The sequence below is a fragment of the Homo sapiens genome, chromosome 2 (assembly GCF_000001405.40).
Source record: "Homo sapiens chromosome 2, GRCh38.p14 Primary Assembly".
NCBI classification, from domain to species: domain Eukaryota; kingdom Metazoa; phylum Chordata; class Mammalia; order Primates; family Hominidae; genus Homo; species Homo sapiens.
Window position 1 is genome coordinate 158,178,218 of NC_000002.12, and position 22,528 is coordinate 158,200,745.

A 22,528-nucleotide genomic window follows, 5' to 3' on the forward strand; every position below is an offset into this window, starting at 1 on the left:
CCTTTCCTATTAGCTGGGAAACGGTGTCAATGAAGATTTTAGAGATTTTGAGTTGAAACAACCCCTTCAAGTTCAAAACTCTGAAAAACTACCAAGTAAAACTATCACATTTCCTAAGTTCTTAAATTCTCACCCTTGCCATCTACCATCCATTTTCATCTACTTTTGCTTACTTTCACTAGGCAAAGTGATAGGAGGCTTTTATTTCTCCACAAAATAGGTATTTTCTAAAAAACTGTTTTTAACACATTTGTTGACTGTGGGATGTTTCCAAAGGGAGGCTCCTATGCCAAAGAAGATTATCTTGCTCGAACTCCACCAGGTTTTTTGAGGACAGTAAAATTCGTAGACTAGATGTAGAGCCTCACTGTTGTAAATGGATACTATCCAGCTAATAAACTCTAGGTGATATAGATATAGTTAAATCTTGGGAGAGCTTTTTAAAAGGTGATGATAAAGTTCTTTCAATACACTGAGAAACTGGAAATGGTTCAATATAATCTAATTGCTCCCAGGAATGAACAGCAGTATCCCCATTTGGAAAAGTTAAATTTTATATAGCAGATGTCATGAACTAAGCCCCAGTAAGAATGCTATTAAGAGCACTTAGAAACATTTTTTTTAAAAAAACCACCCATGAAAATTTCCAAATGAAAAACACCTGTTTCCTAAGGGCTTCTAGCCGCCGTGCTCTCTCTTTGTCTTCATGAGCTTCTTGAAGGGCCACTTCCTTTTTCTCCATCAAACGCCTTTCCAATAATTCTTGTCTATATTTAACCCTTTAAAAATAACACAGAAGGAAGTTGTGGAAGCATCATAATAATATTGGAGATTGTACAGAAAACAGCATAGGGGCAGAACACATCTCAGAGGTAACAGCACTGTCACATTTTTTTTTTTACTGATTTCTCAAGTCCAAATCAATAAAAGACACTCATATAAAATGCAATTTTTTTTTTTTTTTTTTTTTTTGAGACACAGTCTTGGCTTGAGTGCAGAGGCACGATCTTGGCTCACTGCAACCTCTGCCTCCTGGGTCCAAGCAATTCTCCTGTCTCAGCCTCCCGAGTAGCTGGGATTACAGGTACCCGCCACCATGCCCAGCTAATTTTTGTATTTTTAGTAGAGACGGAGTTTCACCATGTTGGCCAGGATGGTCTCAATCTCCTGACCTCGTGATCCGCCTGCCTTGGCCACCCAAAGTGCTGAGATTACAGGAATTCATAGTAATTCTAATAACAACCAGAGAAATACAGGAAAGCGTGGGAGTAAAATTCAGTTCATCTCATTCCTCATTGAAATCACTTTATTAACTCTCAGAGTACCCACTGGCTGCCATGGCTCTGGCTAACCTGCCCTGAGAGGTGACTGGCTCACTTTCAAGTGAGCTATTATAGTGGTCTCCCAATGAGAAGCTTTAGCACACCTTGGGTTGTTAGAAAGTTTACATTACTGATTAAATATACAAATTTTTAGAAGGAAAAGTAAAATAAGCTACTATAATAATATGTCTAAATTATTTTACTTACTAGAACTTAAACTTTACATATATTGTCATCTACATTCTCACTTTCTGAGTAGGTGCGTATGTGTGTTAAGCAACTTTTAAAATTGCACTTTGACATCTGTAGATGGCAGCAAAAACATGACTTTCCCTTAGCATTCTATTTCCAACCCCCTTAAAATCATCGGCTATTAAAATATGGCCCACTTAAATACCAGCTTAAAGCCCTGAGCTCCTTGGCCCTCCTCTGCTGCCTTTTTTGGGCAGCCTCCCTTGCCATCTCCTTGCCCAAGCTATACTTCTACTGAATTATAGAGATGGAATTCATCCTTTCAAAAGAGTAGGCACCTGGGTTCTCAGGGGAGTATTAGCTCTCCACCTCTGCCTTTCATCATTGAAAGATTTAGCTTTCTCTGTGGCATCAGTCACAAATGTCCTTTACCCTTAGTGTGCACACCTGCATTTTCCAAGGTGGAGACACCTTCACTAGACCTTTTACATTCTGGATTCTGGTATTTACTGCGTGTTCACCCTGCATCAGGTCTTGTGCTAAGTGCTTTATATGTTTTAGGTCATTTAGACCTCACAACAATCACATGCTGGGTTGCCATTTTTTAATTCCATTTTATGGATATAAAGAAATAGAAGCATAGACATGTGATCTTAAGAGACGTACAAATAAGAGCCACTGAGAATTTGGAGAAAGGTGAGATGACCAATCACTGCACTGTGGGAGGGGCTGGCTAAACTTAGCAAGAGCTTCACGGAGGAGGCAGTATCTGAGCAGGGTCTTGAGGATTAGGATTCCAGGCAGAGACAGCAAGTGCAGGGCTGGCATCTGAGAGTGGCCCTCACTTGCCTTGACCTAGTCATGGAGGCCACGAGAGGGGAAGAGCTCAGGGTGGCAAGAACAGAACAAGTGAATGATGAGTGACAGAGAAGCCCAGGCAAGTACTGGTGGCTGAGGCTGCAGCCACAGGGTTCCCTTAGGAAGACATGCTCCTGGGGAGGAATACCCCAGAAACAGGTTGCTCATGAGTCTGTCATGAAAGGAGAGACACAGGAGAGGAAAGGAGGGAAGCACACAGTGGATCCTTGTGGAATACAAAACCCAGAATGAGATTTAGAAGGAAAATCCTAACCTCCTTTGATGGCCATGAGTGTTCTTGCCAAAATCAGGAGTCAATATAGTCAAGACACATAGATTAAAGAGCCCACAAACCAGAATGCTCCCTTTCTCTCACGCCTCCATGTCATGGAAAGCTCTATTTCTCATTCTCTCCACTTTCACTAAGGCATGACATGACACAACCTCCCTAATGAGGTTCTACTCAATTTAAGCACTGAGTACAAGCTAAGTGAACTACTGTGAAGGTTCAATTAAAAAATACCCTGGGATTTGACAATTACCATATGCTAATTCTCAGAACCTTTGGAAAGTTTCTCTTCCTTTGGGATATATAGGTTGCTTTGTCTGCAACAAAGTTTTTGTCTGTTTTGTGGAAAAGTAATAGTTGTTACAGTCAGGGGAGCTTGACTAGTGAGGAAGAAATTGCAAATGAGAGAAAGGCATTTGTACTTGTGTGGTAGAGAAGGCTGACTCATCATTTACTTTGAGGCTTATTCATTTATTTAACAGGTATTTGTTGAGCACCTGCCATGCATCAAGGGCTGTGTTAGGCACTGGTGATACAACGTCAACATGGGAGACATGCTCCTGTCCTCGAAGAACTGACAATCCAATGTAGATACAAAGACCCAGGCAATTATGATACAGGGCAGCTTGTGCTCTGATGGGACAATGGGGCAGAGACCATGGGAAAGACAGCTTTCCCAGACTTGGGGCTTTTAGGGCAGTATCTATAATAGGAGGAAGTACTCTGAATTTAAGATCCAAAGAAGGAGCAGGAATGCACCAGGAGGGGAGAGAATAGAAAGAATGATTCAGACAAAAAAGTAGCATTTGAAGGCCCAGAGGTGAGAGTGAGCAGGTATGTCTTAAAAGACATTCAGAATAACCAAAAATGAGCAAAATAAGGTGCAGAGGGCCAAGAACTGAAGCTAGAGAAGCAAGAGGGGCTGGACTGTGGGGGTTTTGAAAGCATGAGAGGTTTTGATCAGGGAGAAGTATCTGCTGTGATATGCAGGATGGGTTGTTGGGAGGCAAGACTAGAGATGAGCAATCCAGATGGGAATGGAAGGCCTCCTGATCTAGGATGGGGGAAGAGTACTCATAGGAGGTTGGGAAAAGATAGGGATTTAAAGGACATGTAGAAAATAAAAATCAACAGAAAGTTTTCATTTATTTTATGGGAGAGGGAAAGAGATAGAGGAAATTTTCTCTTACACAGTGAACAGGGGTGTTCCTCCCTAAGACTGGGAACTCACATGAGAAACAGGGAGGTGAAAGAATTAAGTTCAGTTTGAACACAGACCTGTCTTCACAAGATCTGGGCTGGAGAAATACATGGGGAGTCTTTACCAGTAGAACGGAATTGAAGCCACAAGGCAGATGCCACCATCTAGAAAAAGAGTGTAGAGTAAGAAGAGAGGTAGGCCTGGGATTGATTCCTAAGGAAACAACACTTAGGAAAGGGAAAGAAGGAGAGGAAACCATTTAGGGAAGTGAGGAGGATAAGTGGTCCTAAGATGTTAGGGAAAATGGGGTCAACAACATCAAATGCTACAGAAAGATCAATTCTAGTGCAAAATAATGATTGGGTTAAACAACAGGGAGTCATTGGTGACCTTGGTGAGAACATCCCACAGAGGTGGATGAGGTGAGGTAAGGCAGTAAGAGAGGGCATGGAGACAAACAAGTCCTGCAGCAAAACTGATGCAAATGGAGAGGCGAGAGACAAGGCGGAGCTGGAGGGTGCACAGAGCCGACCACAGTTGCATTGGCTCCAAAGTGATGATCAAGGTTACTCTGACTGCCTGAAGGATTGGCCATGAAAAAATTTCAGGACTTAGGAGACACACTCAAATTCTTCATTTTTACAGATGCTATGGTTTAAACTCAATAATACTTCACTTAAAAAAGGAGAAACTCTTGGTGCTTCTTCTACTCTGGATAGAAAATTTTCTTTGCCTAAAGAGAAGTGATGCAGAAAAACTCCTGGGAGGAAGCCAAATACTCACATATTCATGGGGAAAGAAAATAGCAACACAGTAAAGTCAATCATTTGGAAATTTTTCCACATAAATACTTTTAGCCACTTGAGGTAGCAGATTTTCTCCAAATTAAACTGTTGCTATGAAAGTCAATGTCAGGAAGTGGCTAAACTCAATAGTTTTTAAGTTGTGCACTGAATTCCCAAACAGAAACCGTCTTGGGTTCATTTCTCAGTCTATTATATGCTCCCTGAGTCTACAAAGGTTGAAAGTGCTGCAAAAGAGGCATTTTCGACTTCTCTTGGGGGAGGAGAAGCATCATATTGTTCAAAAGCAACAGCTGCTGCAGAATCCGGCACAGCACTAACAATAATCTGGAAAGGATTTTATTTAAGCCTCCAGGCCTGAGTGTAGTTGAAGGGACAGTATGCTTTCATGTAGAAATGGAGAATTTATGTATCATTTATGAGACATTTTAATGTGTGCACAGCACTCTAAGAAATGAGTATACAAATGCAAATGTTTGGAAACACCTTGATCCGTAGTAACAGCTTCCCTGGGCTTCACTGAAACTTCAGTGAGAACCGGGCAAAATGATAAGTACCAAATCTTGATCTCCCTTTTATCTGGAGTCACAGCTAACTTTCCTCTCAAAAGAAGCTACAGCCACCAAGGGGGAAAAAGACTTCTGACAAATGGTCAATAGTGGCAAGTTCTACAATTTAAAACAAACAAAGAAACAAACAAAAAACTTAAGCAATAAAATGGAGCATAAAGACGTATCTTCATTAGGGTCTCTAACTAGTATGGAACTCCCCCTACCACCTAACATTTCAGGCAAGTAATTTGCCCTACTGAATTAAAGGCAGTTTATAATCAAACTTGCTACTTAGTGTTTAAGTCATGTGGCTTAGTCAATATGCAACAAGAAATCTTTAAACAGGCATGTGCTGGAGGTGCTACTATCAGGTGTTTCAGTGGCAGCATCACGGGGAACCTGTTTCTGCCTGTTGGGAAATTCATTTTTGGCTCAGATTTTACTCAGGAGGTTGTTCTTCCTACTAAGCAGAGGGGACCCCTTCATTAACTACAGGTCACCCCAACAGGGAAGAATGTGCAGATCAAAGCAGGCAGGCCAGGTGCCAACACGTTTCAAGTGGAGGGGAGAAGTCTGCCCAAAGAAAAGAATGGAAATTGCACAGGAAGACATTCACATTGAAAGGCATCACTCCTCTAACCACACGGGCTGGGAGTCTCCACTCAGTGGGGATTCTGGCTAAGGGCATAAGCAAAGACCAATTTCTGCAAACAGGAATGTGAATCCTGACACAAGACACTGACATCCTGGTACAGATTGGCATGAGGCAAGAACAAAGAAAACTCACAGGGTCTCTGCAGAATCAGAAAAGATGAACCCTTGCCAGCCCCAAACAGAGACCATTGTTCAGCTCAGAGAGCTTCCTGGTTCCTTTGTGAAGCTATTGGAACCCCATCTTTTAATTGATTAATTAGTTAAATTAGTCAACATAGAGTTACTTAAGCACCTACTATGTGTCAAGCACTGTTCTAGGTGCTCAGGTTATAATAGTGGGGGGAAATAAAACAGAGGAAAGAAGTCCCTACTCTGTTGAGTTTACATAATTTGTGGTCTGTTATGTATAAGCATGCCTAAATGAACACTGTAGTAAAATCACAAAATTGTTCTTAATAGTTTTTGAATTTATTCATAAACTTCCAAATTACAGAGCCCCTTTTCAGATTGCTACAGAATCATGGTTCTCAATCACTGAAACTTGTAAAATGACTTGCAATGCCAAGGCCTCGCTCCAGAATAATTACATCAGAATCTAGTAGTCAGGCCCAAGTACTGTATTTTGTTGAAAGTTCCACTAGATGATTCTAATGAGCAGCCTGGGATGAGAACCAATGCTACATAGCTTAGTCATTCTCAAATGAGCGTACATCAAAATCACCTGTGTGACTGGTTAAACCTCAGACTTCTGGGCCAGCTCCAAAGTTTCTGATTCAGTAGTTGTCAAGCGGAGCCCCCAAATCTGCATTTCTGACAAGTTTCCAGGTGATGCTGATTGTGCTGGTCTGGGGACCACACTTTGAGAACTACAGCATAGATAAATATACAGATTAAAAGGACTTTACCTGACTATTGTTATCAAGACAAAACCAGTTACAAGTTACTACCTAGACAGGGCTTATTTCTGTTTGCCTGTGCTAAACATTGCAGTTATATGCCTCAGGACTGTTCCAAACTAGAAATTCTTGCTTGGTATTATTGACATTCCAGAGCAGGACCTTTCAACCCCATTCTTTCCCAGCCCCTATGGCCCTGACACACATGGATGACAGGTTCTCTCAGAGACCAGAGCCTTCTCAGGCTTGGATAAGTGCTGGTGATGGGCAGTTGCAATAATGGCTATTACTGAACCTCTTTCTTTCCCTCTGATGGACAAAACACTGGTGTATCCTGATGACAGCTGAAAACCTCAGGCTACTGGCCGATATTTAAAGGGTCTATTCAGTAAAATCAAAGGAAGAGGAAATAACTCGAAGGCGTCTCAGCCTTTAAATAGAGATATGAACCACCTTCTTTGAGAATTATTTCGGCAGCTCCAAGGGTTGGATATCTTATCACAATGGAAGCAAAAATCCATAAATAAGAGCACATTTTCCTGTTGATTTTAATCAGTTCTAAGCCTGCTGTTTGAGTTCAGGTGAGCTGGAAGTGAGAGATACAAACAAGGACTTCAATCTGGGAGTCCCATGTTGAAAGGAGGACAAGCTGTGAAGAGAGAGACACTGGAAGAGTGTTGCAAATATCATATTAGCTCATTCCCCAAACTAATCCAAAAAACTATTTCTGCCACAACTTATTTATTCTTCTTTTTCTGAACCATTCCTCTTTCTACCTGACCTTCTGTAATCCTTTTATATCTTTACATATCTTCAACATTTTCCTCAACTACTCCTTTCCAATAACATTCCAAATGGGGCTCATTGTTTATAGAGAATTTAAAAATAATAAACGGACAAAAACCTTTTTAAAAAATCACCATGCCCCAATAGTTTAAATAATGTTAGTGATAAAATACTTCCTCCACTGGAACACTCAGCCACACCTGACCCCATTCTCAGTCGCTGCTTTCAATGATTTGCCTTAATTGAAAACCAGTGCTTCCCAGGTGCCACTACTTTTATTGCAACCTCTTAAAATAGAGGGTACCTGCAGAGAGGAGGCTGAGTTTTTCTGGCTCCTCAGTGACAATTCCAGAAAGTTGTACACATTGACTTTGGGATGATACCATCCTGTCTGTTCTATGGTTCTTGGAATTAACTACTGACTGGCTGGGTCAGTGTCCAATATTTACTCAACTCTGCCCACACAGTCTCTTGATTTCCAGCACCATTAACTCCATCCCTACTTCAGCAAACTTTTCCTTAGACTGAACTTAGAATTGTCATCACCTAGAACTGTTCCCCTGCCAACACCTTGAACTGAGGATTCCCGTTATATGCCTCCAGGTCTGGGGTCATGGCATAGACTTAGAAAGGCTGTATGCTGCACAAGTCTAGGAAGCGTCATTCACATGGATTGCCTGTCACCCTTCTGACACTGTCACCCATTTAACCTTACTCAATCTGTGACTTGAGCTTAGCAAGATTTCCATTGTTCAACAATATTTATTAGCTTAAATTAATAACCAACCACCTTCCACGGTTCTTTTTCCTCTACATATAAATTTATTCAAATCGGGTAGAGGGATGTATCTCTCAACTCTGCCTCCCTTTTCAGATACCGTCTTTTTTTCTTTCATTCCTTTTACTGCAAAATTTCTTAACTGAGGAAGCCATACATTCTGTCTCCAGCTCTTCACTTCTCATTTATTAACTTAAATACCATTGAACAATGGAAATCTTGCTAGGTCCCAGGTTAGGCCTTCCCTCCTGAAATTTTTTTTCTAGTTTTGCCTTTTCTCCCAGGCTACAAGAACCAGTCAGGCTTTATCTCATTCTCTCCCCAGCTTTGGAGCCCTGGGTCTATCTCTTCAAAGGCATTGTCAACAGCATCCTTTAATTATCTTGCCTTTTCTTTCTCATCTACCCTGCCAATATCCAACTCTAATTCTTTGTTGAAATTATTATGTACTAATGAAGTTGATCCTTAACTGGACATTCAACACTGCTCCAGAATTATTTATTCTCTCCCCAGCTGCTTGATGTTCTCCTTGAATTTCTACATCATGGCTAACTCTCCCTCTTAGTGGAGAACCTCACCTGCTCCACTGAAAAGAGCATTCATTTCCTCAATATGCTTTGCCGCTTCCAACCTTGTCAAAACTCATCTTCATCCATCCTTTGCTCCTTAAATCTGGGCTCCTAATCCTATAAATCTAGTTGCTGCTAGGATCTTGCTCCAGAAGTGAACTTCTTTCTTTCTTAATTCTTCAGTCTCTCTCTCTCTCTAACCAACCACCTTCCATGGTTCTCTTTCCTCTACGTACAAACTTATTCAAATGGGGTGGAGGGATGTATCTCTCAACTCTGGCTCCCTTTTCAGACACCATCTTTTTTTCTTTCATTCTTTTTACTGGAAAATTTCTTAACTGAGGAAGCCATACTTTCTGTCTCCAGCTCTTCACTTCTCATTTAGTCCAAACCATCCTGCAGTCTGGCCTCTGTCCACTCCACTCTATGGAAACTACTTTCCCCAATAACACCAGTGACTCAAAATTGCAAACTCAGAGCCGTCTTTCAGAGCTCCTTCAATGTGACCTGTCTGCAATGCCTGGTACTGATGATACCTTCTTCTTGGAATGTGCTTCCTATCTCTTGCACTGCTTTCTCTTCATTCCTTTTACCAGCTTCTCCTCGTCTGTCTACCCAAAGTTCCAACATGAATCCTCTTCTTTTCTCAATTTAAAAACTACTTCTGAGAAATCTGACTTCAACTACAATCAGTGCACAAATATCTGCAGCCTCCACCTCCCTCAAAGTCCCAGATCCTTTGAGCTTTTATTTGTTCTTTATGTAAGTTCAGGATTACCCTCAAACAAATCTCTCAAGTGTAACTATATTACATTGCTGGTTAAATAAAGAACTGCTGCTTTAAGGGCATCTGAGTTGGGTATAAGTTTGACATCTTCTTGTGCAAAGTTAGGAACCAACCTGATGACATATCTAAATAGAAAGCCAGACGGCCTCCTTACATGCTGTTAGAGATGAGCCACTATGGTACCCTGGGTACCATGGACAGAGCTAAGATCATGTCTGCTCAATTATTTGGGGTCCACTCCAATCCAAAAGCAGACAATCAAGCTCCCAATGTTTAATGTCTTATAAGATGGCTGCAACAATTTTAGCCTGCAATATTTATAGAGGAGTTGGTCATTTCAGCTACTTAAAAACCTAAGGAAAGCACTCATAAAATATGAAACTTTGAGCAATAGAACTTCCTGGGGCCAAGAAAATCATGTATATGCTTAAGTAACTGATTGAGGTGACTTCACATTTGGGATTATTAGCTATAAACCACTTTATATAATCTAAAAATAATGACTTTGATATTAGAATATTTTTTTTAAATATGTGTCTTCTTTCCAGCAGTAATTAGATACCAGAGCCAACTGCCTATTATGGACACACCTAGATTTTAATCATTAAATCAGTACTGGGGAAACTGGCTAACCATATGCAGAAGAACAAAACTGGACCCCTACCTCTCACCATATATAAAAATTAACTCAAGATGGATTAAAAGCTTAAGAATAAGAAATCAAACTATAAAACTCATAGAAGAAAATCTAGGAAATACTTTTCTATACATTGGCCTAGGCAAAGCATTTATGACTAAGTCTTCTAAAAATGCAACAAAAATAAAAATTGACAAGTAGGACCTAATTAAACTAAAGAGCTTCTGTGCAGCAAAAGAAACTCTCAACAGATTGAACAGACAACATACAGAATGGGAGAAAATATTTGCAAACCAAGCATCTGACAAGGGACTAATATCCAGAATCTATAAGGAACTTAAGTCAACAAGAAAAAGAAACAAATAAACCCATTAAGAAGTAGGCAAAGGACATCAACAGACACTTCTCAAAAGAAGACATGTAAGTGGCCAACAATTAATCACCAGAGAGATGCAATCATTAATCACCAGAGAGATGCAAAACAAAACCACAATGAGATACCATCTCACACAGGTCAGAATGGCTATAATTAAAAAGTAAAAAACAAAAATAACAGATGTTGACAAGGTTGAAGAGAAAGGGAACACTTATACATTGTTGGTAGGAATGTGTACTCAGTACACAGGTACTGAGTAAAGAGTCAGAAAGAGAGTGAGAGGAATCTGAAGATACCATTTGAGTCACTGAGGCAAGACTCATGCCCTGGATTCCCATTCTTGTAAATCAATTCATTCCCTTTTCTGCCTAAGCTAGTTTGAGTTAGGTTTTGTCAGTTGCTTCTGAAGATTCCTGACTAGCAGACACATCTTCTATGTGTAAGGAAATCTGTGTCTTTTTGTCCTCTATAACAAGAGGACATGTATCTAGCTGTTCCAAAGGGTAATCAGTTCTTTTCCCAAACTGATGGTCCATGGAATGTTAATTTCCCACAGGAAGTTAACACGTATACTATAAAAATGTGTTCAAGTAAGTTTGGGAAATACTAAGATAAACAAAGTAAAATAAATTTATTTATGGCAGGAGCTTTCAGAATATTTATGATAATATGGTGGAGTGCATTATGAATCTCTAAAAGGAGGACTTAGTGTGCTTATTGCTCAGTTATCTGATAACAGAAACCTTTCTCAATAGACCCAGTTTGGGAAATAATATTTACCTTTCCATAAGCAAGCAAGAATGGTCAAGTAAACAAACTGAATGGCATAGACACATAGACACTTCCTGCTTTGTATTATAGTTTCTGTTTTCATGTCTTGTCTACTAGACTGTATACTTCCTGAGTCTAGTGGCTATGACTTAATCTCCTGTGTATCCCCAAGAACTAGCAGAGTGCCTAAAACACAGAAGATATGCACCAATAAATGAAAGAAACATAGAATAAATGATGAGTGAAATTAAAAAGTGATGGAAAGCATTCTATTGAATATCCTAAGCTGTAGGTAAATAACAGGACACAGGAGTTGGCAAAATAAAAATGTAAGAATAAATTAAATATACATTATTCCTTTAAGCCTGTCTAATTAGTCAGTGAGTATGTCTTTGTAAGATATTTAATCATTTGAGAAGCTGGAAGAGAAATTGAATTACTGGAGAACAAATCTAGTGTCAGTTCCTTTTGAGAATAAGGAGCCATGAATGCTAAAAGCCAAACTGAGGCATGACATCCACGACCATGATACAGACTTGCTAGGATCATGATTTTGGAGGGACAGCACAGGCAGAAATAATGTTGGCTTTCAGAAATTATTTATCATGAACTGAAATTTAAAAGGCCACCCAGGCAGATCAGCATTTATTTGCCCAATTGCCTCTAATACATTCATTTATTCAGCACATTTATACAAAGTGCCATATATGTAAATGTATAACAATCATATTTCTGCAAAACAAACCAAAAACCCAGAGCAATTAGAAACACCTATCAAGTAGACAAAGGCAGAGCTTACATCTGGATTTTGAATACTTAGAGGCACCTGTCACTTGCCATCATATGAACTCACTAACAAAAGACATCTGCCATTTGATACTAATTGGGTAATTTGCACAGTGACTCTTGAACTCACAAATGGTTTATGGTAGATATAGTTTAACTCCACAATTAATATGTATTGCATTTAAAAAATCTTCATGAGGCCATATAATCATTTTAACAGTTGTGTAAGAAGGGAACTTTTGTTGAGGGTTTACCTCATAACATTGGAACCTTTCTTTAAATTCTTATGCTAATTTTGTTTGTAAAGCAAAATAATGCTTTTAAAAGTAAGAAAATGATAAGCATGGGTGATTAGTTTTATTGGAGAGGTTTTTTTCAGCTGAAAAATTCTCATAAGACACATAATTCCTGATGCCCAAGGTTTTCATAAATGTGTTTTCAGAATCACAAATACTAAAAGAGGCATTGCTTTAGTATTGAGCTTTAAAAAGACATGCTAATAAAATATACCACCGTGTTATCAAGTCATAATATTTCGGTCTAGTTCTATCTATTTTTAACTTCGGCTACTTATTGTGAGAACTGATTTTAATTGGTCCTCGTTTTTCTGGAGATAGACATCTGTATGATTATGATGATGGAACTGGGTTCCCTTCTTTAGCAGCACTGCTGAACCGAGAGGGCACTGAGACCACAAAAGAAACCACAGTCTTCTCCCTCAAACAAATGATTTAAGTAAATAAGATTAATAAAACATGGCTTCTCTAATGCTGTTTGAAAAATCCCCATTACATTCTCTTTCTTCCTTCCCAGATCTCTCAGAACTTCTGTAGAAAGCAAACATCAAAAGGACCAAAGGTTTTTGTAGTGATTCAGCCGCCCACAGCAAAGAAGTAAACCTTGATTTTCTTTCAGCCTAGGAAATGATCAGCGAAGAGGCTTCACAAACAGCCTCTTTAACATTTGAGGTTAAAAAAGAAAGTCAGTGGAGCAGAACAGTTATTTTCACAAACGCCTTCGGGGTTTTTTCTTCTACTTTTTAAGTAACCCTTCTAATCCCCCCAAGTAAAATATTTTCATTAGCTAAAGTTTTGGCTAGGCATTTTAAACATGCTTTAAAAAAACAAATGATAAAATATATTTATGTATTGGGTGTGACTTTTTCTAGTGCTTTTTTCCTTTGGCTTTCTCAAATGCTGATTTCCTCTGGCTATAGAGTTTCAACTAGCTTCTTTGGTGACTCTGCCAAGTCACACCTACCTTAGCAGTTTCCGTTTTGTCTCAGAATTCAGCTTTTGGAATTGAGCTCCGGAATCACTGTTCCTTTTTTTTCTTTGGAGACAGACAACTCTACAAAGCAGTTCACCCTAGAGTTCTGCCAAGTGAACCCTGGTGTTTGGATTTCAGGAGGAGAGCCCATCTCCAGTGCCTACTTGGGGAACTCTGTTACCTACCCTGTAGTTTTTTCAGGTGAGATGCCAAAGGTTATGTTCAAGAAAGGCAAAGAGAGAGAGATGTGTTGCTTTCATCAACACTCAGACAATAAAGTCAAAGATAGTAAAATTAATTAAATTAACAGGGAACCAACTTTACTGGAAAAGATAAAGCAATAAACTGGACAGAGATTCAGATGAACTTACAAATAATATGTAGATCACTGATAGCCCCCTCTTTTAAAGGAAACATGTATATATCTTCTCGCCAGCTTTATTCAAGTATGGACAGAAATAAACCTCAAGAAACCCTGTCTTTTCCCTTCCTACATTAAGCTAGAGATGTCCATATGGGTCTCTCTTTGGATATCTCTCTCAAAGGAAACAGAGAAATTGCTAGAGGAGGGTCGTGGGCCAGAGAATAAAACAGGCTTCCAACAACTCACGATTTGTAAACTTTAGTCGGATGTCTGGATTATAATTAAATCTAAAACTTGGAAAGCAGCTGGGGAAGGGTAGACAGGCTGAATGAGAAGTAGGGCAGGGTTTACTAAGCAAATCATGGTGTAGGAAAAACAGATAGCTAACTTTTATGAAATTTTATTTTAATAAAGTTTACAATGGCCAAGCGTTGGCCATCTAGACACAGCTAACAAAGGACACCAAGAGGTGGTTGTGTCTCTTTGTTCACATTCTACACAGAAAGAAAAGCAGCAGCAGGAGAGGCTCCTTAGGAAAAGAGCTCTCTCCCTTCATGAGAACTTCACAGTAACAGAGGTCAGGAAATAAACAGACCTGGCTCTCTCATGGGGCCTAACCATGACCCCAAACAGTAAACCCAAGGGAAAATTCCACTTAGTCCAAGTTAAGCTGACAAAGTGGTATCAATATTGCCCATTAAGGATAGGTTTATTTTCTCTGACCTAAGCTGCTTGGCAATCCCATGGTCTAAATAGAAAAAAAAAAAAGGCTATTTTATTTTCTCTAAAAGCAATAAGCTTATGTCCAAAAGATTATAATTTCTTAGAGATATTGTCAACCCTGTCAATATATGAAAGGCAACTCACATTTTCTCTCCAAGTGACTCAAATTTTAATCTTTATTATCCTTTCCCAGATGTCACAACTCCTCTCTGCCAGATTCCCCATTATTTCAAGAGACAAGAATATTCCTTAAGGCCTCCTTTTGAATATACATCTTTCTGATATCATGTCTCTGGTTTCCCTGAAGACTAACACATCAACAAATCTATCCTGTGCCTGGATTCTAGGCTTTGAAAATAATTGTATCAGTTTAGCCAGGCACAATCAACATTTCTGTCTTATGTGCATTCTTCAATTCCAGCAGAATGTCTTGTTTGCACCGCCCCAATTCTATGCATAAAAGTGTTGATGCAGAAATTGGCATAATTGTGAACAGAGACAAACCTTTCTGCAAATAAGACAACTGTCACTCATGGACCACAGGAAGACTCTATTCTGAGACTGCTCCAACATAACATCAGCTATGGAAGTCCTAGGAGGGTATGGCTTGTGGAGTAATACCCTGATTAGTGTGCACCAAAAGCTCACAGTATTTTTTTTTAAGCATCAAAAAGCCTTGCTCCTCTAGAAACGTTTAGCGCATTCAAGCCCACACACACTCAGATAGTAACGATAATCCTTTCTTTGTGGGATTTGGAAGAGCTACAAAGAATAAAAAAAGCCACAATATTTTGACAAAGTGATGCATTCTTCTCTAGGTATAGTTGATGGAAACTTTTGAACTTTCCCTGTTCAATTGATAAAACATTATAAATGCAAGAACATTGGAGTATATAAGGCTTTATAGGAATACAACAGATAAAGACACACACTTATTAGGTGTATATGAAGTACCTTATATTTTTAAAATAATCCATTTGCATAAAAATTTACAATTTTACATAAGGTATATCTCCTAATGCTATCCCTCCCCCCACCCCACAACAGGCCCCAGTGTGTGATGTTCCCCCTTCTGTGTCCCAATGTAAATGATGAGTTAATGGGTGCAGCACACCAACATGGCAGATGTATACATATGTAACAAACCTGCACGTTGTGCACATGTACCCTAGAACTTAAAGTATAATAAAAAAAAAAAATTTAAAAAAATTTACAGTTTAAAGGGTATTCTCTGATACATTATCAAGACATTTAGTATAAAAATAAGTTATTACTCAACTAACATTTAAACAGCATCATTCACTTTCTCCATTTCTGATTAAATGAGGAAGGGTGTTGGCAATTTTTTTAAAATTTAATAAAAATTTCTACCCTCCTGTTTCCAAGCAAGATTTGAACTGATATTTAGTATTAAACACAGGTAAAACAACAACATTAAAAATCAAAGACAAGACAAAACCAAGTAAAAGGAGTAGATATTTCCAAGCAATTGTAACAAGTTAATTGTCACAGTTGGGCCATGAATTTGCCTTTCACAGGCGTCAGCATTTGCTCACCAGATGGAACTACTGAAACTCTGTGCCTCTTTAACAGGGTGTTTCTAGACCTGTCTCACCAGCAGGGGCCCTGGATTAATTATACTGTTGTATTTCTCAGAAAGCGGTGAGTAGACCAACTGCACTGGAATCAAGGATGCCTATTTTTAAAATGAGGATTCCTGGGCCTGCCCTAGGCTCTCTGGAGGTAGGGTTCTGGAATTTGCATTTTCATATTACCCATCAGGTGATATTTTTGCTCTCTAAAGTTTGGAAACCACTACCTTCCTGGGAATGGTGTCCATTGCATGGGAACTATAGAAAACCCAGCAACAACGAGATAGAAAATTGTTATAGTGACCAGCCCCTTGGATATTGCTTTATGCTTTGTTATTTCTGCCCTGTGCAGGTAATATATTGAAATGCCTGGTCCACAGTTCACTTGATTTTTTATTTTGAATGGTCCCATGTGCTTGAACTCCTCTGACTATTATGTTATTCTCTTTCCAGCATCCCATCCCCCATCTGCTCATCCACACTTTTTTGGTTCCTGCCACAAGCCCCTGATAATTGTGCATGTCCCATAACCTGCTGGTTACTCCTGAGCTCACTTTGATAGTTCTGCATGTGCTACAGTCTCTGCTTGTCTCGCTGGGATCAATTCACTCCATGCTGGTCCTGGGTCCATCTGAGACCCTCCCTACCCCAGCTTCTAGCCATCAATGCCTACATATGGACCTACATTGGAGAAATTATCTGTTCTTTGTTCCTGAAAGATATTTCCAGTTCACTGGCTTTATTGGCTTATTCTGTGTATTTGAGGTATGTATCTTATGCTTTTCCCACTTTCTACACACTCTCAGACACAGTTAATTGCCCCTGCTCTTTTCCATTTCCCCCCATATATTCATTGGCTTATATTATTGTCTTATGATGTGCCTCTTACATTTGACAATTTCACATGAAGGCATATCCAACATCTGGCCTTTAAGTTTATGGTCCAAATTTCTACACTAAACTTATGAATGCTTCAGTCATATACTTGGGAATTCATCATCGTTTAACATTCATTTACCCCCAAGTAATTTTGTTTGTTCTTGTTCCCTGTGAAGTTTTGCGTTTTTGCTAAAAATTTACGATAATACTTCCTGCTCCTTCTCTGTGGAATTATTAAGGCTCCTGTCAAAAATATTTTCTCCATTTTTGAGAGGGACCCATTGTCCCTAGCTCAGAGCCTCCCTTTTTGGTCACAGACCACTCAGGAAATCATTTTTAAAAGAGCATGGACAGCACATTCTGGCAGTTTTCTATGGTTATGCTGCTTCCAAAGCAATCTGCATGAGTCTTCAGCAACCTGCAAGAAGACAAGATAGAAATATCACCTCCACATTCAGCTCCTTTAGTCTTCTACTCAAGACTTCAAAGTGTTCAGGATGCCTCCCACTTTTCTTCAAATTGATCATACAAGCCAGGACAAGTGCAGAGTGTCCAGTGGGCGCAGGAGGCTTAGGATCTCACTTCTGAATTTTGGAAAAGTTTATCAGGGGAGGCAGCACAGCAGATATAGCACATCAGGTCTGTAACACAGGCAATTCCATAGCAATCCATAGGGAATCACAATTAGCTCCTCATGGGACTTACTCACATGATTTCTTCCATCAGCTGGGGTGCCTGTAAACCCCAGTCATATGCCAGAGCCACTTCATACTAGCTGGAGGGACTGAGCCAATTGTTACATTTTGGGACCTTTGCAAGCTAGTCGTTAAACACAGGCATTATTAAATTATGTAAATTTACACAAAATCAATTATATTAAAAACAAAGGTAACAAATACTAAAAACTCACCACTTTTTAATTATTTTACTGTGTTTTACTATTATCTATGCTCTTGAGATAATTTATATCTACTAAATCTGTATGGCAGAAATAATATATGAGAGTATGCCACTGCACATCTCTTCCCATCTCTGTGTTCAGTAATATCAAGTTGGTAATTTGAAATAGGCTATGGTGGGATATTTACACCACAGAAATCAGCACGTGCTGAAAATCAGGATTTAACCAACCCTCTTCTCCTCCCCCCAGCCAGTTGTTAAATATGTCCAGTGCATTATTTGCTGTGAATCCAGCCCATTTAGTATTAAGATGGAAAGTGCAAAAGTACACCATGGTTATGGGTCAAATTTCCCATCTTTACTTAAAACTTTCTCACTGCCCCCAATCTGCTTTCCTTTCGATATGGTCCAACATGTCTCAAGCCAAGGCCTGTGGAAGCACAACCTATATCAAATAACTTACCTGAATAACGTTCACACTGGCCCTCCTTTTTAAAATCTTCAGAAATTCTTTCATATAAATTTTACGTCTACTTTTTCTCTGCTCAAAATCCCTGCTCTTTTACCTACATTGTCTCCTATACCCTACTCTGCACTTGTGTGTCTATGTGTTTATATCTGTGTGTTTATGTGTTCATATCTGTATGTACTAGATAGTAGCTGGGCAGTTACTTCTGATTGACTAACTTTAAATTAAAATATCTGTAATTTAAGCCCACCTTAGTATCTACTAAAACACTGGAAGGTGAGATCATTAACTGTCTTAGAATCAATACTTGAGTCCTTAAGAGGGAATTCAGGAGGTTAGCAAACATTATTAAAAGATCAGAAAATGGATTCAGGAAAATCTAAAGAAAGTAAGACTCTTTATGTGGCAATGATAAGGCTAATGGGGAACTGAAAGTGATCATGGAGAATGATTGGGAATTTTATACAGAGAAGTCTTTGTTCTCTGTTTCCACTCACAATAAGTCAGGACAGATTCAACTTACAGCACTTCATCGAAAGAACTGTAGAAGAATTCAATGAGAGAAAATTATCTGAAGGTTTTATTTCTCCTAAAGTTTTTTTTAATCAACATTTTAATCAATGATCCCACAGAAGCTGAATTTGAAGGTAGAGAGTCTAATTACGAAAAAGTCACTCAAAAATATAGTCAATGGAAGATGGGATGTCTGAGTTGTCCCCACAAACAGATATGGACTCTGGCTTTCTAATATCCTACAAAGTTCTAAGCTTAATTGAAGATCTTATTTACTAAGGTTACCCCAAGTAAAGTATGTGTATGGTTAAGGGATAAAGATATAAATACCTAAGACACATGATACCAAATCTAACCAAAGAAACATCCTGTCTAAAACCCCATTTCTGATAAAGTCACTGAAGTTATTTTGCTGGAGAGCATAAGAGAGCCTCTAATAAACAACTTCCCCTAATACTTCATGAGGTCCTTGTGTTTGTCTAATCTCATTTTGAACCAATTTATGTATTAACCTGCTATGCATAATTTATGTGCAACCTCCTGGTAATTACTTCCCTATTTTTTTATTGCCACTCTAATGATAGATACAGTTTCTATACAAGTTTCTTCCAGTATCCTGGAATTTGCTAAATCTCTGGGTATATATTATAATATTTTTGGAATAGAAAAGGTAAAAACCACTAAATGCATTCATTAACTGGTTAATGCAATTAATTCTAATGAATTAATCAATTAATTCTAATGAATTAATCAATTAATTCAAAAAGTCAGAATTAACCCTATTCAAGCTCTACAATATTTAAGGCTTCCAGGGACTTTTGTAATTTGGTCTCTACTTATCTATTTAATCTTTTCTCTCACCACAACCTTTGCCCAACCTACTCCAAACACTTCAACTATAGTAAATTACTAAATTACTTTCAGTTCCTCATGGAGATTTGGCAGGAGGACATTTCCTATTTCTGGAAGGCCTTTCCTTCTACTAAGAAAACACCTGACTCATCCCTGGCACCCCCTACCTGGTTTAAGTGCTACTTCCGTGTGTGTCCATAGCACTTTGTGCTTCCCTTCCCCAGGATATCTGAATATCTCACTTGGCCTTCAGGTTCTTGAAAACAGGGACAGTGTCATTTTTGTCCATCATTGTATCCCAAGGTAGTAGACACTCAATAATAATTATTAAATGTGTAAACCAAATAAGTTGGTGGATTTTAAATAATAGTATCACTGTGTTCTCAGACTAGAGGCCAGTGTATCAACTCTGCACCTTTGAAGTTGAAGTTGAAGAATGGCCCAACTTCATGGTCATTATATTCATTTTCTGAATCATGCCAGGAATCATGAAGTTTCCCAAATGCGAATTCATGATGATTTTACACACACGTCATTTCATGCCTTTGTTTTCTTTCCTAATGATGCCTGGGATTTCATTGGACTTTTTGGCTGATATCTTCAGAGAATACTTGAAATGGCTTCAAGGTCTTTTTTTTTCCAGGTCGGAAATAATTATTTGGAATTATCATCCTATAAGCACAGTTTGTAGGATAGAAAAATCAGAAACAGTGAACTGAGTTTAAATTTATCTTAAGTTAGATTCTGTATGTTACCAGCAGCACAAATTTTATCTCTTTGTCAAACAGAGCTGAAAAGCTATTGTAAAGTTCAAGAACATCTCCCCTAAGGAACAAAAGCAGAAGACTTCTGTTATGATGAGGGAAATCAAACAAACCTTGATTCTGAAACAGCTTTGTTCTCAGAAAGATGACTTTTTAAGGGAGGAGACCAAAACAAGAGTGAAAAACCAGAGGCAGGGACCTTGGGACCAGTAGAGATTAGTTAAGCATAAAGGGATCTGCTTGAAAGGTATGTATAGGCTTGATAGGGAGAACAGAAGAGTGTCATGGCAGCAAGGTATGAATTAAGAAAACATGTCTTGGTTTATAAGAGATTTTACTTGGTTTTATTCATCTGCTCTAAGGTGTATGATACTTTAAGCTTGGAAAGTAATTTTCTTATAGTTTTAATGAAGACATTTTGATATTGCTTTTTTAAATTTTAATTTTTATTTATATATTTTTTTGAGACAAAGTCTCATTCTGTTGCCCAGGCTAGAGGGTAGTGGCACCATCTCGGCTCACTGCAACCTCCGCCTCCCAGGTTCAAGTGATTCTCCTGCCTCGGCCTCCCAACTAGCTGGGATTATAGGCATCCGCCACCACCCCTGGCTAATTTTAGTATTTTCAGTAGAGACAGGGTTTCACCATGTTGGCCAGGCTGGTCTCAAACTCCTGACATCAGATGATCCACCCACCTTGGCCTCCCAAAGTGCTGGGATTACAAGTGTGAGCCACCACGTCCGGCCTTTGATATTAATTTAAAACCAGTTTTTAGCTTATAAGTTATTTAAATTATTTTTCTATAACAGACTTTAGGTGCTTCTAGATGATAGATTCTAAAATAAAACTCCATTTTATTTTAACTTGGAGTCATTTTAACTCCAAGTCCTGTCTCAGGAAATTATAGGTGAATAATGAAGGTCACTTTATGACAGTTATTAGTAAAAATATAGTTATCTGATTAGATCATTATTGGGAACGAGCAAATGTTTCTTTTTCTTTGAAAATAAAAAGGGTCAAATGATATAAATCATCCACTTGTGTCTCATGATAATTAAAGATTGGTGCTTAAAGCATAAACATCTATTTTTCTGCCTCCATAAACTTGCTTTCTTAATGATTTTAATCAAATGTTCAGGTGAAATGGCATTGATTTTATATCATGAGGCTTTGAAAAGCAGCTCAAGAGGGTTGAGACGCATTCAAACTAGTCATTGTGGTAGTGATCACAGATCATTGTGATGGCAGGGACAGGATAAAGGAAGATTCTGCACTCTGGTCCAAAAAAAATCAGCTGCACAAGGACAGGGCTGGTGACACAGAGTTTGGTGGTGCATGTTTAAAAAAGATGATCATTATCTAGGTTCATGCCCTGAAATTGGTTTTTACATCTCACTGGTTTATTTCAGTCTGAACAGACCCATTTTTTCCCATGATATTAAGTTTTCTGAAGCACTTAAGGAATGCTGTTTAATTTAAAGTCTTGTAGGATGCTCCTTATTTTTGATTTGTCTGATTATTTCCTCTTGATATCCAGTTATTTACTTTGGTTCCTCTTTCCCCTGAATTTCCTGTAAACAGTAAGTTGGGTCTTGAACAGGGGTTGACACACTATGACCCTGGGACCAAATCCAATCTACTGCTTATTTTTATAAATAAAGTTTTATTGGCACATAGCCATACCCATTTGCTTACATATTGACAGAGCTGAGAAGCTGTGACAGAGACAGGATGGCCCACGCAGCCTAACATAATTATGTTCTAACTCTTTCCAAATAAAATTTGCCAACTCATTGACTAAGAAATTGATTGGCTTCAGGTAAAATATTTTGGCACCAGGGTGATGTACTTCATATTATACCATCATGAGGCACACTGTCAGTTTGCCTCAGTATTAGTGATGCTAAATCAGTACACTTGGTTAAGGTAGCGATAGTCAGCTCTCTC

The 22,528-nt window shown here is 38.7% G+C and overlaps 1 protein-coding gene and 1 long non-coding RNA gene across 3 annotated transcripts in view, besides 2 other annotated features; one reads left to right on the forward strand and one right to left on the reverse strand.

Annotated features, from left to right (window-relative positions):
- CCDC148-AS1 (CCDC148 antisense RNA 1) overlaps nt 1-22,528 on the forward strand; it is a 69,520-nt gene that overhangs the window by 11,568 nt on the left and 35,424 nt on the right. The gene's annotated exons all lie outside the window — the stretch shown is intronic.
- The window catches only part of CCDC148 (coiled-coil domain containing 148), a 285,681-nt gene that overhangs the window by 7,145 nt on the left and 256,008 nt on the right, over nt 1-22,528 (reverse strand). For both annotated transcript variants that reach the window (NM_001301684.2, NM_138803.4), the window contains one exon: nt 662-779. In NM_001301684.2, coding sequence (NP_001288613.1) covers nt 662-779 — 118 coding nt within the window. The remainder of the gene's footprint in view (nt 1-661; nt 780-22,528) is intronic.
- Nucleotides 9,786-9,986: a silencer, noted in NCBI's record as "peak3909 fragment used in MPRA reporter construct". NCBI's record gives its function as "represses an SCP1 promoter by STARR-seq MPRAs in K562 erythroleukemia cells {active_cell/tissue: K562}" and the evidence as "EXISTENCE:reporter gene assay evidence [ECO:0000049][PMID:32103011]".
- Nucleotides 13,159-13,318: an enhancer, noted in NCBI's record as "active region_16679". NCBI's record gives its function as "activates an Ori minimal core promoter by ATAC-STARR-seq in GM12878 lymphoblastoid cells {active_cell/tissue: GM12878}" and the evidence as "EXISTENCE:reporter gene assay evidence [ECO:0000049][PMID:35858748]".